The sequence below is a fragment of the Homo sapiens genome, chromosome 16, assembly GCF_000001405.40.
Source record: "Homo sapiens chromosome 16, GRCh38.p14 Primary Assembly".
NCBI lineage: Eukaryota > Metazoa > Chordata > Mammalia > Primates > Hominidae > Homo > Homo sapiens.
In genome coordinates, this window is record NC_000016.10 from 69,061,252 (window position 1) to 69,076,707 (window position 15,456).

A 15,456-nucleotide genomic window follows, 5' to 3' on the forward strand; every position below is an offset into this window, starting at 1 on the left:
GAATCACTCTGCTTTTCAAAATTTGGCTTCTGGCTGGACGCAGTGGCTCATGCCTGTAATCCCAGCACTTTGGGAGGGCGAGGCAGGTGGATCACCTGAGGGTCAGGAGTTTGAGACCAGCCTGGCCAACATAGTGAAACCATCTCTACTAAAAATACAAAAATTAGCGGGGTGTGGTGGCATGCACCTGTAGTCCCAGCTACACAGGAGGCTGAAAGCAGGACCTGGGAGGCAGAGGTTGCAGTGAGCCGAGATCGCGCCACCGCACTCCAGCCTAGGCGACAGAGTGAGACTCTGTCTCAAAAACAAAAAAGTCATCTTCCCATTATATTTATATTTATTTATTTAGCTGTCAAAATTTTAGCATATGTATTTCCTTTAGTTCATCCCCTCTGGGCAGAGGTTTTTGCCATAATGCTTGCTCCCAGCCAAGGAGGAAACTGCATTTATCTTATCTTTTCATCTTCCTACAGAATGCATTTCCGGCCGGGCGCGCGGTGGCTCACGCCTGTAATCCCAGCACTTTGGGAGGCCGAGGCGGGCGGATCACAAGGTCAGGAAATCGAGACAATCCTGGCTAAGACGGTGAAACCCCATCTCTACTAAAAATACAAAAAATTAGCCGGGCATGGTGGTGGGCGCCTATAGTCCCAGCTAGTCAGGAGGCTGAGGCAGGATAATGGCGTGAACCCAGGAGGCGGAGGTTGCAGCGAGCCGAGATCGCTCCACTGGCACTCCAGCCTTGGCGACAGAGCGAGACTCCATCTCAAAAAAGAAAAAAAAAGAATGCATTTCGGTAGCCTGTGACTTTCTCTATCTTCAGACTCATACTTCACATACATATGTTTAAGAACAAATTTTTAAAAATATTTGTGGGGAAAAGATGCAATTTTAATTTGTGGGTCAAAACTTATTCTGACCGCCTGCCTTCTGGAAAATAAAATCATTGTGGATAATTCAGAAAATTCCAAGAAGTGCAATAAGTTATGTCCAAATCACTTTGCCTGTACCTGAGGCTTAGACTTTTCATAGGCAAAGTCTATAAAAAAGTGACCTCTCCTTTTGAAACCATGGTATCTCTCTTGCAGTCTCCTAGCCAGTGTTTTTGCCTACCATCCTGCATCCTTATTATTAGATTGTTAGTTTCCTGGGGAGCATCTTATTATTATTAGATTGTAAGAGTTACCTGGGGAGCATAAAAGGAAATTTAATTTTAATTTTTATTTATTTATTTTTTTTGAGACGGAGTCTCACACTGTCACCCAGGCTGGAGTGCAGTGGCGTGATCTCGGCTCACTGCAACCTCTGCCTCCCGGGTTCAAGCGATTCTCCTGCCTCAGCCTCCCGAGTAGCTGGGATTACAGGTACCTGCCACTGCGCCTGGCTAATTTTTTTATTTTTAGTAGTGACAGGGTTTCACCATGTGGGCGAGGCTGGTCTGGAACCACTGACCTCGCGTGATCCACCCACCTCGGCCTCCCAAAGTTCTGGGATTACAGGCATGAGCCACCGCACCCGGCCCATAAAAAGAAATTTAAAAAAAAAAAAAAAAAAAAAGAATCAGCCAGGCGCAGTGCCTCATGCCTGTAATCCTAGCACTTTGGGAAGCCAAGGTGGTGAATCACGAGGTCAGGAGTTAGAGACCAGCATGGCCAAATGGTGAAACCCTGTCTGTATTAAAAATACAAAAACTTGGCTGGGCGCAGTGGCTCATGCCTATAATCCCAGAACTTTGGGAGGCCGAAACAGGTGAATTGTTTGAGGTCAAGAGTTCGAGACCAACCTGGCCAACATGGTGAAACCCCGTCTCTACTAAAAATACAAAAATTAGCCAGACATAATGGTGCGTGCCTGTAGTCCCAGCTACTTGGGAAGCGGAGGCAGGAGAATCGCTTGAACCCAGAAGGCGGAGGTTGAGCCAAGATCGCGCCATTACCCTCCAGCCCGGGTGACAGAGCCAGACTTCGTCTGAAAAAAAAAAAAAAACACTGGGGCCGGGCGCGGTGGCTCACGCCTGTAATCCCAGCACATTGGGAGGCCAAGGCGGGCGGATCACGAGGTCAGGAGTCAAGACCATCCTGGCTAACACAGTGAAACCCCGTCTCTACTAAAAATACAAAAAAATTAGCCGGGCGTGATGGCAGGCGCCTGTAGTCTCAGCTAGTCAGGAGGCTGAGGCAGGAGAATGGCGTGAACCCCGGGGGCGGAGATTGCAGTGAACCGAGATCGCGCCACCGCACTCCAGCCTGGGCGACAAAGCGAGACCCCGTCTCAAAAAAAAAAAAATTAGCCAGTGTGGTGGGGGGCACCTGTAATCCCAGCTACTCGAGAAGCTGAGGCTGGAGAATCGCTTGAACCTGGGAGGCAAAGGCTGCGGTGAGACTCCATCTCCAAAAAAAAAAAAAAAAAAAAAAAAAAACAAAGTTCTTTGGGGGATTTTTAATGAGTAGTGAGGATGGAGAATCATTAACTAGAATGATGGTATCATTCAGAGGCAATGGTATTCACTCTGGGCAGCGTAGCCATACTTTTCTTCTTCTTCTTCTTCTTCTTCTTCTTATTATTATTATTATTATTATTATTATTATTATTATATTATTTTGTTTTGAGATGGAGCCTCTGTCGCCCAGACTGGAGTGCAATGGCACGATCTCAACTAACTGCAAACTCCGCCTCCCGGATTCAAGCAATTCCCCTCCCTCAGCCTCCTGAGTAGCTGGGATTACAGGCATGTGCCACCACGCGTGGCTAATTTTTGTGTTTTTAGCAGAGACGGGGTTTCACCTTGTTGGCCAGGCTGGTCTCAAACTCCTGTCCTCAAATGATCTGCCCGCCTCGGCCTCCCAAAGTGCTGGATTACAGGCATAAGCCACCACGCCCAGCTCTACAGCCATACTTTTCTGGTGTGGGTGGGAGGTTGTTTTTTCCAGTCTGGTCCATGCCATGCGTATATTAGCACATAATACAAACCCTTACCAGAGCCTCTGATGTGTCAGGGACTCTGGGTTTTTTGGCCTTTGATCCTACTGTAGCACCTTATGTTCCTGAAGCATCTTGCACAGAGCATTGAATTCCAGTGAGCAAATGCCCTAAGGATTGCAGTCTGCACTTCCCCTATCCACAGAGGCATGACCTGAGGCTGTGTGATCAGAGCAAGCCTGAGGTGATTCAGAGTGCCCTAAAGCAAACTGGCATCCTAAAGGAAGCCTAAACCATGGAGTCAGCCACCAGCCTTTCTGCTGCTCCCTATCTTCTCTCACCAGCCAGGCACCATCCAAATAAACAACTTTTGATGGTGCAGGAGGAAGATCAAATTCTCTGCATGGTGTCCTCATGCATATTGGATTTCCTAGTAATGCACATATGAAAAACAAAGTTTGTGAACTTAGATCTGACAGATGCAGATTTGAATTCTAGCTATTTGTCCTTGAGCAAATCTCTAAACCTCCCTAACCTCCTGTGCCCTAATTCATAAACTGGGGCTAATAATACCTGCTTCATAGGGTTAAATGAGATAATGTGTGTCCAGGGCTTAGCACAATGACTGAAATGTAGTAAACACTCAATCAGCAGTAGTAGTGAGCCTTTTTCAGATGCTGTCTAATCCCACGTGGGAGGCTTTCCATGCAGAAAGGAAATAGAAGTGTGGTGCCCTCAGCGGGGTGTCTGCATGGAGATCTTGAAGGACTGGAAACAATGAAGCCTGTTCCCCCATATGTGATCACTGAGTACAGTTTGAAAGCTGGGGTTGTACTCACCCTCTCAGGACAACACTCCCAATCTCTTTTCTCGTAAGCAGTAGCCTGCTGCCTTTGCACACACTTCGACCATTTTCCCTGCTGCTTTGTGCTATTTCAGGGCTTGTGGGGGTGTAGGAAAGCTGCCGCCTTCCTCAGGTTGCTATTTAAAGACATTCTGAAACATTTTGCCACCGCTGCTCCTGCCACCACAGCTGCCACTCCTGTCCCAGCTGCAGGGAGCTGCATGGTCACTGACCACTCCAGCCCTTGGGCAGCATGCCTCAGCATAAGCCAGCCAGGGAGCACACACAGTTAGGTGTTGGGAGTTCTGACCGCCTATTTTTTGTTTAGGACTCCTGAGCTATCATCCCTCCCAAGGGTTAACTGCTACCCACCATCTTGGTCTTTGTCCCTAAACAACCTAAACTGTCCATGTCCCTGTAGCATTTTTGGCACTTGACCAGTTAAATATTTCTCCCTTTTTCTCAGGAAAAACCACACATGATACCCGCCTCATCTCCTTTCCACCCCATCTCCAATTTGCACTTTAGATGCTCTCCTCATTTAGTAGCCAGAAAGGGTAAAAGTGCCATTTATCTCTAGGTCTAGCAGAGAAAAATACTCTTAAAATAAAAGGTTTTTGAAAAGCTCAGTAACCTCCAGTTAATAATAATGCCACTGTGAACTTCAGTGTGTTTGAGATTTTCTATCTGTCAGGCATGGGTAGAAATCTCTTAGACATTAGTAATCCTGCCTTTCTTTACTGACCGTCCTGACGCTTTCAGTGAAGTGTCTCAAAAGCCTGGTCTTTCAGGTTTGAATTGGCCCTAATTTCTTTTTCATAGACCCATCAAAGTGAAAGTTTGGGTTTTATCAGGAAAGCATTATTCTTCTTCAGTCCAGAGCTCCTGAATGAGGTCCAGATTGTCTGTGTCCATTCTGCTTCCCCAATTTATTTGTTTCCTGCCCATTATCTTAGAGAGGCCACTCGCCTCAAAGACCTTGGAGTCTGGCCCCTTTCTGCTTCCCCGGCAGAATTCTTCCTGATGCTTTCCATTCTGCAGCATAGCTTGATCAGAGCTTCCAGTGTGCCAGCTACCAACATCATCTGACCTGCGCTGGCCTGATACTGTGTTCAGACTACATTAAATTCATTTCCCCGCATCTACGCCACCTCCCTCTTCCTCTCACTCGCCTTCATTTATTCATCTGCCCAGCCACTCTGCCTTTGGCTTCTCCTCTCTAGTCTTTGTTTTCAGAGCTGTGCCTTTCCCCCTCCTATTCATTCATTCATTCATTTGTTTATTTATTTATTTATTTTGAGATGGCGTCTCGCTCTGTTGCCCAGGTTGGAGTGCAATGGCGTGATCTTGGCTCGCTGCAACCTCTGCCTCCCAGGTTCAAGCAGTTCTCTGGCCTCAGCTTCCCAAGTAGCTGGGATTACAGGCACACACCACAATGCCCGGCTAGTTTTTTTGTATTTTTAGTAGAGACAGGGTTTCACCATGTTGGCCAGGCTGGTCTTGAACTCCTGACCTAAAGTGATCTGCCCACCTTGGCCTCCCAAAGTGCTGGGATTACAGGCATAAGCCACCGCGCCCGGACTTCCCCTCCTATTCTTATTCCTTGGTGGTAAACCCAATTTTCTTAATGTGGTGGTAATAATAACAATACTTTGAATTATTTATCACTTTGCTGATGATAGTGAAATACTCTCACATACATTATCTTTTTTGATCCCCACAATATACTCGTAAGGTAGGTGGTTATATGTGCCTTATGCCTCCCACTCCATGGTAGTGAAAATAATAACCACTTTGAGAGGCTGAGGTGGGGGGATTGCTTGAGGCCAGGAGTTTAAGACAAGCCTCGGCAAAATATCAAGACCCCGTCTCTACAAAAAATTTGTTTTTGTTTTTGAGATAGGGTCTTTCTTGCTTCGTTACCCTGGCTGGAATGCAGTGGTGCAATCACGGCTCAGTATAGCCTCAACCACCCAGGCTCAAGTGATCTTCCCTCCTCAGCTTCCCAAGTAGCTGGGACCACAAATGCGTGACACCATGCCCGACTAATTCTATTATTTCTTGTAGACAAAGGGTCTTGCTGTGTTGCTCAGGCTGGCCTCAAACTCCTGGGCTCAAGCAATCCTCTCACCTTTACCTCCCGAAGTGCCGGGATCATAGGTATGAGCTACTGTGCCTGGCCTACAAAAAAAATTTTTTTTTTATTAGCTGAGGCTGGGCACGGTGGCTCATGCCTGTTATCCCAGCACTTTGGGAGGCCAAGACGGGTGGATCACCTGAGGTCAGGCATTCGAGACCATCCTGGCCAACATGGTGAAACCCCATCTCTACTAAAAATACAAAAAATTAGCCAGGCGTGTTGGCGGGTGCCTGTAATCCCAGCTACTCAGGAGGCTGAGGCAGGAGAATCGCTTGAACCTGGAGACCTGGGAGGTGAAGGTTGCAGTGAGCCAAGATTGCGCCACTGAACTCCAGCCTAGGCAACAAGAGCAAAACTCCATCTCAAAAAAAAAAAAAAAAAAACGCTGGGCGCCGTGGCACACGCCTATAATCCCAGCACTTTGGGAGGCCAAGGCGGGCGGATCATGAGGTCAGGAGTTGGAGACCAGCCTGGGCAACATGGTGAAACCCTGTCTCTACTGGCCGGGCACAGTGGCTCATGCCTCTAATCCCAGCACTTTGGGAGGCCGAGGCGGGCGGATCACTTGAAGTTGGGAGTTCAAGACCAGCCTGACCAACATGGAGAAACCCTGTCTCTACTAAAAATACAAAATTAGCTGGGTGTGGTGGCACATGACTGTAATCCCAGCTACTCGGGAGGCTGAGGCAGGAGAATTGCTTGAACCCAGGAGGCGGAGGTTGTGGTGAGCCAAGATTGCACCACTGCACTCCAGCCTGGACAACAAGAGTGAAACTCTGTCTCAAAAAAAAAAAAAAAAAAAGAAAATAAACCCCATCTCTACTAAAAATACAAAAATTAGCCAGGCATGGTGGCACATGCCTGTAGTCCCAGCTACTCGGGAGGCTGAGGCAGAAGAATTGCTTGAATCTGGGAGGCAGAGGTTGCGGTGAGCCAAGATCACACCACTGCACTCCAGCCTGGGCAACAGAGCAAGACTCTTGTCTTGAAAAAAAAAAAATTACCTGAGCATGGTGATGCACACCTATAGTCCCAACTGCTTGGGAGCCTGAGGCAGGAGGATCACCTGAGCTTCAAGGCTGCATGCAGTGAGCTATGATCGTGCCACTGTACCCCAGCCTGGGTACAGAGAGACTCTGTCTCAATAATAGTAATAGTCATAATAAAAACCGCTTTGAGAGACGGTACAGTATAGTGATTAATAAAGAACACTACTCTGGAGTCAGGCTACCAGGGTTTGAATCCTGGATCTACCCATTACTAGCTGTGTGAACCTGGGCAAATTGGAAATGATAATTGTGTTGTGGGGATTGAGTTAATGTAGACAAAATGCCTGGAATCATACCTGGCATATACCAAGTACTATGTAAGGATTAGCTACCGTTGCCATTCATTCATTCTTCAAAGATTTACTGCATGTTAGGCTCTCTTCCAGGCCTCAGTGATGTAAGAGTTACAGGATGGACATAGTCCTGGCCCTCACAGAGGTCACAGTCTTCACTGACAAACCATCACTTCTTTAGCACCCACCATTTGCAATTCCTTGTGCTTGGATCTTTGTTTTTGTTGTTGTTTTGAGATGGAGTCTCGCTCTTGTCGCCCAGGCTGGAGTGCGGTGACGCCATCTTGGCTCACTGCAACCTCCGCCTCCCAGATTCAAGCAATTCTTCTGCCTCAGCCTCCCGTGTAGCTGGGATTACAGGTGCCCGCCACCACGCCCAGGTAATTTTTTTCCTATTTTTAGTAGAGAAGGGGTTTTGCCATGTTGGCCAGGCTGGTCTCGAACTCCTGACCTCAGGTGATCCACCCGCCTCAGCCTGCCACAGTGCTGGGATTACAGGCATGAGCCACCGTACCCAGCCATGTTTTTGGATCTTTAGATACATTAATTCTTATTGCAACCTTCAGGAGGCAAACTTATTCCCATTTTATAGACGAGATCACTGGGGTTCCTAGAAGTGAAGTAGTTTGTTCAAGATTCCCTAGCTAATAATTGGGAGCTCTAGGGTCCACTTCACTCAGTTTGCCTGCCTCCTGACCATTAGGCTTAATTCTGTGTGTCTGCCTCCCCAACAGGGTGTGAGCTCCTGGGTGTGGGAGCCATTCAGCAGAATACTTAGCCTAGTCTCCTGCACACAATGTGGGAAATTTTGCTGAGTTGTTCTCTACTGACAATTCTTGACTCTCTGCCCCGTAATAGTCTCATCTGTTCCCTCTCACATCTCTTAGCCACAAAATCACATCTTGGGCAAGATGAAGGTGCTTAGAAGTTGGACTGTTGCTTTCTGACAGATTCATACCACACCTAATGCTTATTCCAACATGTTTTTAAACAGAACTAGTCGGATTCTGGAGTCTTCTCTTCTGGACCTCAATCTAGAGAATCTTTTTTTCTGCCAGGACAATCTCCAGCCACCAGCTCCAGTTCACCTCTTTCCCCTGTCTTCACCTGTCTTATTATTTCGGTGTATAACTTGCGTGTTATTCCTCTGTTTTTGTCTTTGTGCCTCTTATTTATTTCTCAACCACAAAGGGAGTCACAATTGGTGGTTGATAGGATTGTGTGGAATGTAGCCTTCTTTCTTTTTGATCTTTGTTTGCTTCATCTCTTGTTTCTATAGAATATTGAATTTCTAAATACAACTGTTACAAGGAAAGGGGTCTCCATTCCAGACCCCAAGAAAGGGATCTTGGATCTCGCGCAAGAAAGAATTCAGGGCGAGTCCACATTGCAAAGTAAAAGCAAGTTTATTAAGAAAATAAAGTAGTGGGCCAGGCACGGTGGCTCATGCCTGTAATCCCAGCACTTTGGGAGGCCGAGGCGGGCAGATCACATGAGGTCAGGAGTTCAAGACCAGCCTGACCAACATTGCAAAACCCTGTCTGTACTAAAAAAAAAAAAAAAAAAAAGCTAGGTGTGGCATGTGCCTGTAATCCCAGCTACTCAGGAGGCTGAGGCAGGAGAATCACTTGAACCCAGGAAGCGGAGGTTGCAGTGAGCCGAGATCGTGCCACTGCACTCCAGCCTCGGCGATAGAGCGAGACTCCTTCTCAAAAAAAAAGAAAAAGAAAAGAAAAGAAAGTAGTGAAAGAATAGCTACTCCATAGACAGAGTAGGGCATTCCTGAAAGTAAGAGGAGGAACACGTCCACCCTAGGTACAATGCTTATATATATAGGATAGAAAAAGATCTTGGGGCCAGGCGCAGTGGCTCACGCCTGTAATCCCAGCACTTTGGGAGGCCGAAGCGGGGGGATCACCTGAGGTCAGAAGTTTAAGACCAGCCTGGCCAACATGGTGAAACCCCGTCCCTAATAAAAATACAAAAATTAGCCAGGCATGGAAGTGCTTGTCTGTAATCCCAGCTACTTGAGAGGCTGAGGCAGGAGAATCACTTGAACCTGGGAGGCAGAGGTTGCAGTGAGCCAAGATCACACCACTACACTCCAGCCCGGGTGACAGAGGGAGACTCCATCTCAAAAAAAAAAAAAACAAAAAAACACACACAAAAGATCTTGGGGAGATGTGCTCTGCTACAAGGGTTTGTGATAAATGATTAATTTTCTTAATTGCTATAGTTTGCAAGAATCAATATTATTATTATTATTATTATTATTATTATTATTATTATTTTCTGAGACGGAATTTCGCTCTGGTTGCCCATGCTGGAATGTAATGGGGTGGTCTTGGCTCACTGCAACCTCTGTCTCCCAGATTCAGGCAATCCTCCTGCCTCAGCCTCCCAAGTAACTGGGATTACAGGTACCCACCACCATGCCCAGCTAATTTTTGTACTCTTAGTAGAGACGGGGTTTCACCATGTTGGCCAGGCTGGCCTCAAACTCCTGACCTCAGGTGATCCACCCACCTCTGGCCTCCCAAAGTGTGATTACAGGTGTGAGCCACCATAAAATTAGGAATGCCTTTGTTAAAGCAAAATTTAGGAATGCCTTTGTTCCCAGATACTGGGATATCTGGACACTTCCAAGTCTGAGTCTGTTTGGTAAACATTATCAATCTATTCCCTTAACCATAAACACCTAGAAGTTAGGAATGCCTAACTTCTGGAAATGCAGCCCAGCAAGTCTCAGCCTCATTTTCCAGCCCTCACTCAAAATGCAGTCACTCTGGTTTTAACGCCTCTGACACAATGAGTGTATGCTAGCATTTAACGTTTTTGTCCTTTTATATTTAGCAACTCATTTTCCTATTAAGAAGTTATAGATGGAAAAACCTCTGCTAGATCACCGTGTCCAGAGTCCTTTTTCTGTAAATGTCTTATTTTTGACCATTCATGTTGTGTTTTGTTGATCTCACACAATAAGAACAGAATAGCCATTTCATTCACCAAGTTCCAGTAGTAAAAAACACCTTGAAATGTAAATGACCTTTAAAATATTAAAATAATTTTTAAGTGTAAATGAATCTACTCATTACCGTCTTTACTCATGGAGCTTGTGTTAGAGAGGTAGTCTAACTAGAGCCTTTTTTCTTCCTCTATTTTCATATATTCTGGATTGTGGTAATATGGTTTTTATAATCAAACAAATCAATTTAGGAAGTAAAGAGAAGAAAGATATTTGCCATTTATTTCTTCTTTTGATCTTAAAGATACAACCACTCCGCAAATGTTCCAGGTCAAGCTCATTGAAAGAGTCAAACACTGTCTTCCTGCTTTTCCATTGAATGTGCACCTGTGTGCCCAAGGCAGTCTTTTACTCACACCTTCCCTTTTCAGTTTGCCAAGCCTCTTCTGGTCCTTTCTGAGCCACGTCTAACCCTAAAGACTGCCCTTGTCCCTGAAGCTTCAGCTTTGTGTGTTTCAGGCCAACTGGCGCCTGGAAAGAGGGAGGGTGAAGAGAGAGGGAGACCGTGTGTGTGTGTGTGTGTGTGTGTGTGTGTGTGTGTGTGTGTAGAGAGAGGGAGACCGTGTGTGTGTGTGTGTATGTGTGAAGAGAGAGGGAGACCGTGTGTGTGTGTGTGTGTGTGTGTGTGTGTGTCACATGCGCTCTCTAAATTCTTTTGATAAAGAATCTGAACGCCACTCCCTTCCAAAGAGTTTTCAGACCAGGAGTCTGGGTACTTCTTTAAGATATCCTTGGCCTAAGCTTCTCAGATGGTGAAAGTGTTTGTTTCAACCACTGACTGCAAGCAGCTAAACTAGCTTTCCTGTGAATGAGACGCACCCAGCCTACTCACAGCCATACCCACTCCACCTTGCCCTGGAGTCCTTGGGCCTGATACAGTTGGGGGATGAACAGCAGGTGTGCTGAACTCATAATGAGAGGTTTCCGCTGTGGGATTGCCTATATCCTGCCCCCGACAGAGGCTCCTGTAACTTTACCTTTGAACTCTCCTTGTATTCAGCCCCTGATCCATGGGATTTGGTGACAATCCCTGGCTGGCAGGAAGCTTTGATCCTTGGGGAGTCCAGAGGAAGTCCTATGATGTGTGGGATCCCTAGAGTCACAGGGATTGGGAAGAAGCTCTATACCAGGATGGGTTGCTAAGATAGACCCATTAATTAAGCAGGAGGCTTTGCTTAACACTCAGTTACTAAAAACAGAGATCCGGTAACTGATAACAGGGAGCTCAGCACCCCTCAAGTGTGGAGTGGGTTTTGCACAGGCAGTATTGTTATTTTAAGGACACAGAAGTGCCCAGGGGGAAATTCCTACCCACACGGAGAAAGAGCAGAATACCTGTGAGTATCCCTTTTTAACAAGTAAAAGCTGACTTTACTTTGAATGTTAGGAGGCTCTAGCAAAAAAATCTCAAAGATATTTCTAAGTGAAAGATTCCTCTAAAAGGAAAAAAAAAAAAAAGATGACCTTGTAACAAACACTGGAGGATGGGGCACAGGAAGCCAGGAGAGCAGCCTGGGTGACAGAGTGAGACCTTCTTTAAAAAAAAAAAAAAAGTGGAAGCTCTAGAATTTCTATATATAGAGATGCTTTGGGCTATAATCCATTGGAGAGAGTGTTGGGAGATTTGTCTTTAGGCTGTACCTGCATAGCAAGCATGCTGGTTTTGCTTGGAAACTGCCTTCTTTTTGTGATGGCCTGGGAGCTGGAACTTACTAAAGTTCCCCCAAGCCATTTCCTTGGTGCCACCCACTGGCTGGGAATAAATGTCAGAGTGAAGGCACTTTCACAGAGCAGGTACAGGTTCCTCTTCCTCCACCCACCTCCAAAGGCGGAAATGACTTCCTTTGCTTCCAGAGAATTGCCTGCGTTTCTCTCTTAGAACGGAGATCACTCCATGTGGGGTGTGTGTACTGCCTCCCCACAGGGCTGTAGCTGCCACCTGGGAGGGTTCGTGCCTTATTCATCTTTTTTATCGCCAGCACAGTGCCTGGGCATGACAGAGGCCCATAGTACTGATTATTGAATGAGTGAGTAATCATGAGGCAATAGCGGTGGAGAGTCATCCTCTGCCGGGAATTAGCTCATTTTCATGCGGCCAGCCTCAGGAAAAATAAGACTTCCTTGCCCAAAGACAGGTTAGAAAGGGCACTCGAAGCCAGGCCTGGTGGCTCACGCCTGTAATCCCAGCATTTTGGGAGGCCGAGGCCGGCAGATCACAAGGTCAGGTGTTTGAGACCAGCCTGGCCAATATGGTGAAACCCAGTCTCTACTAAAAATACAAAAATTAGCTCGGCATGGTGGCGGGCGCCTGTAATCCCAGCAATATGGGAGGCTGAGGCAGGAGAATCGCTTGAACCCAGGAGGCAGAGGTTGCAGTGAGCCGAGATCATGCCATTCACTGCTCTCCAGCCTGGGGGGCACAGAGCAAGACTCCATCTTAAAAAAAAAAAAAAAAGGCACTCGGGTGAGGCCACAGAGTCAGGCCCCCGACCTAGGAGACCTGACTGTGGCTCAGAAGCTCCCTGAGAAAGCCCAGGAGGTAACTGCCCAGCAGGGACCAGGCAGCATCTTCCTGAGGTTTGCTCACAGGACTCAGGTGCTTCACGTGGTGACACTGGGCTAGGAGCATTGAGGGTTGTTTGCAGGCTGACCGTATAATATGTGGGTCCCAGTGCAGATTAAAATGCAGGGCTCCTTGCTAGGGAAAACAAATAACAACAACAAGAAGAAAGTACCATTAGTGCTGTGTGTGTGTGTGTATATATATATATATTACAGAAAAGGAGTCCCGATCCAGACCCCAAAAGAGGCTTCTTGGATCTTGTGCAAGAGGGAATTCAGGGCGAGTCTGCAGTGGAAAGTAAAAGCAAATTTATTAAGAGAGTAAAGTAGTGAAAGAACAGCTGCTCCATAGACAGAGTAGGACGTTCCCGAAAGAGGAGGAACGTGTCCACCCTAGATACAATACTCGTATATATGGGGCGATGTGCTCTGCTACAAGGACTTGTGATAAAGGATTAATTTTCTCAATTACTATACTTTACAAGTATCAAATTATCATCTTTAAAGCAAAATTAGGAATGTCTTTGTTCTCCAGATATCGGGATATCTGGACACTCCTAAGTCTGAGTCTGTTTGGTAAACATTATTAATTCATTCCCTTAACCATAAACATCTAGAGGTTAGGAATACCTAACTTTCTGGGAATGCAGCCCAGCAAGTCTCAGCCTCATTTTCCAGCTCTCACTCAAAATGGAGTCACTCTGGTTCGAATGCCTGTGTGTGTGTGTGTGTGTGTGTGTGTGTGTGTGTGTGTGTATAATTATTATTATTATTTTTTTTTGGAGGCAGAATCTCGCCCTATTGCCCAGGCTAGTGTGAGGTGGCGCCATTCTTGGCTCACTGCAACCTCCGCCTCCCAGGTTCAAGCAATTCTCCTGCCTCAGCCTCCTGAGTATCTGGGATTACAGGCATGCGCCACTACGCCTGGCTAATTTTTTAGTAGAGACGGGGTTTCGCCATGTTGCTCAGGCTGGTCTCGAACTCCTGAGCTCAGTTGATCCACCCAGCTTGGCCTTCCAAAAGTGCACAGATTACAGGTATAAGCCACTGTGCCTGGCCTGAAATATAATTTTTTTCCTTCCAAAGTCTGCTTTTTTTTTTTTTTTTAAGAGATGGGGTCTAAGTCTCTCTCTCAACTTGTCATGATGTTTATTATTTGCTGGAGAAAAATTAAAATGTTAAATTATTAGCATGAATTTTACTGTTCATCTTTACATTGTGCAATGCCAATTCTAAATGCAAATATAAGAGCATTAGCTCCTACACAGAATCACTGAAATTACACAATTTGTATTTCATAGTTTACACATGCATATGTATTTCCTTCTTAGCAGAACAGTAGAAACTCTACACAACACGAATTCAACTTTTATTTTTTTTTTTTTTTTGAGACAGGGTCTCACTCTGTCACCCAGGCCAGAGTGCAGTGGCAAGATCATGGCCCACTGCAGCCTCAGCCTCCTGGGTTCAAGCAATCCCCTCACCTCAGCCTCCCGAGTAGCTGGGACTACAGGCACACCCCACCACACCTGGCTAATTTTTGTACTTTTTGTAGAGATGGGGTTTCACCATGTTGTTCAGGCTGCTCTTGAACTCCTGGGGTCAGGCAATCCTCCTGCCTTGGCCTCTCAAAGTGCCGGGATTACAGGCATAAGCCATTGCACCCAGCTGAATTCAACTTTTTTTTTTTTTTTTTTTTGAGACAGAGTCTCACTCTGTGTTACCCGGACTGGAGTACAGTGGCTCAGTCTCAGCTCACTGCAACCTCTGCCTCCCGGGTTCAAGCGATTCCCGTTTCAGCCTCCCAAGTAGCTGGGACTACAGGCGTGCACCACCGTGCCCAGCTACTTTTTTGTATTTTAGTAGAGACGGGGTTTCACCATGTTGGCCAGGATGGTCTCAATCTCCTGACCTCGTGATCTTCCCACCTCGCCCTCCCAAAGTGTTGGGATTACAGGCGTGAGCCACCGCGCCTGGCCTGAATTCAACATTTTTATTTCATTTCTTTTTTTTTTTTTTTTTTTTTGAGATGGAGTCTTGCTCTGTCTCCCAGGCTGGAATGCAGTGGCACAATCTAGGCTCACTGCAACCTCCACCTCCCAGGTTTAAGTGATTCTCGTGCCTCAGCCTTCCGAGTAGCTGGAATTACAGGCACCCACCACCACGCCTGGCTAATTTTTGTATTTTTAGTAGAGACGGGGTTTCACCATGTTGGCCAGGCTGGTCTCGAACTCCTGACCTCAGGTGATCCGCCTGCCTTGGCCTCCCAAAATGCTAGGATTACATGCGTGAGCCACCGTGCCCAGCCTCATTTCTTGATACATTTACATTCGACCAACACTGTCTACCTTTGATTTACTGATAAGAAAGGACTGAAAGGAACAAGAATAATGGGTTGCCCTGCTGTGCCATTATTTTCAGTGTAAATGACTGGCTAAAACAAGGAAGTGAATGAGTAAGAAAGATGCAGTCGGGTTCCATGGTCCTCTGTGTTTTTTAGAAAGCCATTGCCTTCTTTCTGTGTTCGAAGCAACGCATGGAAAGTGCATGAAAAGTGTCGCCTCTCCAAGCTGTTGGGGCCTCCATTTGCCCACTCTTAAATGTAACAGCCATGCCTGCCTTGT

At 46.4% G+C, this 15,456-nt stretch overlaps 1 protein-coding gene across 3 annotated transcripts in view, besides 5 other annotated features; it reads left to right on the plus strand.

The window, feature by feature from the left end:
- Positions 1-15,456, plus strand: part of TANGO6 (transport and golgi organization 6 homolog) — a 241,652-nt gene that overhangs the window by 217,721 nt on the left and 8,475 nt on the right. The window lies entirely within an intron of this gene.
- Positions 1,644-2,462: an enhancer, noted in NCBI's record as "H3K4me1 hESC enhancer chr16:69096798-69097616 (GRCh37/hg19 assembly coordinates)". NCBI's record gives its function as "activates a minimal SCP1, AML or CMV promoter by ChIP-STARR-seq in naive H9 embryonic stem cells {active_cell/tissue: H9 hESC(naive)}" and the evidence as "EXISTENCE:reporter gene assay evidence [ECO:0000049][PMID:30033119]".
- Positions 10,407-11,126: an enhancer, noted in NCBI's record as "OCT4-NANOG-H3K27ac hESC enhancer chr16:69105561-69106280 (GRCh37/hg19 assembly coordinates)". NCBI's record gives its function as "activates a minimal SCP1, AML or CMV promoter by ChIP-STARR-seq in primed H9 embryonic stem cells {active_cell/tissue: H9 hESC(primed)}" and the evidence as "EXISTENCE:reporter gene assay evidence [ECO:0000049][PMID:30033119]".
- Positions 11,127-11,844: an enhancer, noted in NCBI's record as "OCT4-NANOG-H3K27ac hESC enhancer chr16:69106281-69106998 (GRCh37/hg19 assembly coordinates)". NCBI's record gives its function as "activates a minimal SCP1, AML or CMV promoter by ChIP-STARR-seq in primed H9 embryonic stem cells {active_cell/tissue: H9 hESC(primed)}" and the evidence as "EXISTENCE:reporter gene assay evidence [ECO:0000049][PMID:30033119]".
- Positions 11,845-12,563: an enhancer, noted in NCBI's record as "H3K27ac-H3K4me1 hESC enhancer chr16:69106999-69107717 (GRCh37/hg19 assembly coordinates)". NCBI's record gives its function as "activates a minimal SCP1, AML or CMV promoter by ChIP-STARR-seq in naive H9 embryonic stem cells {active_cell/tissue: H9 hESC(naive)}" and the evidence as "EXISTENCE:reporter gene assay evidence [ECO:0000049][PMID:30033119]".
- Positions 12,564-13,281: an enhancer, noted in NCBI's record as "H3K27ac-H3K4me1 hESC enhancer chr16:69107718-69108435 (GRCh37/hg19 assembly coordinates)". NCBI's record gives its function as "activates a minimal SCP1, AML or CMV promoter by ChIP-STARR-seq in naive H9 embryonic stem cells {active_cell/tissue: H9 hESC(naive)}" and the evidence as "EXISTENCE:reporter gene assay evidence [ECO:0000049][PMID:30033119]".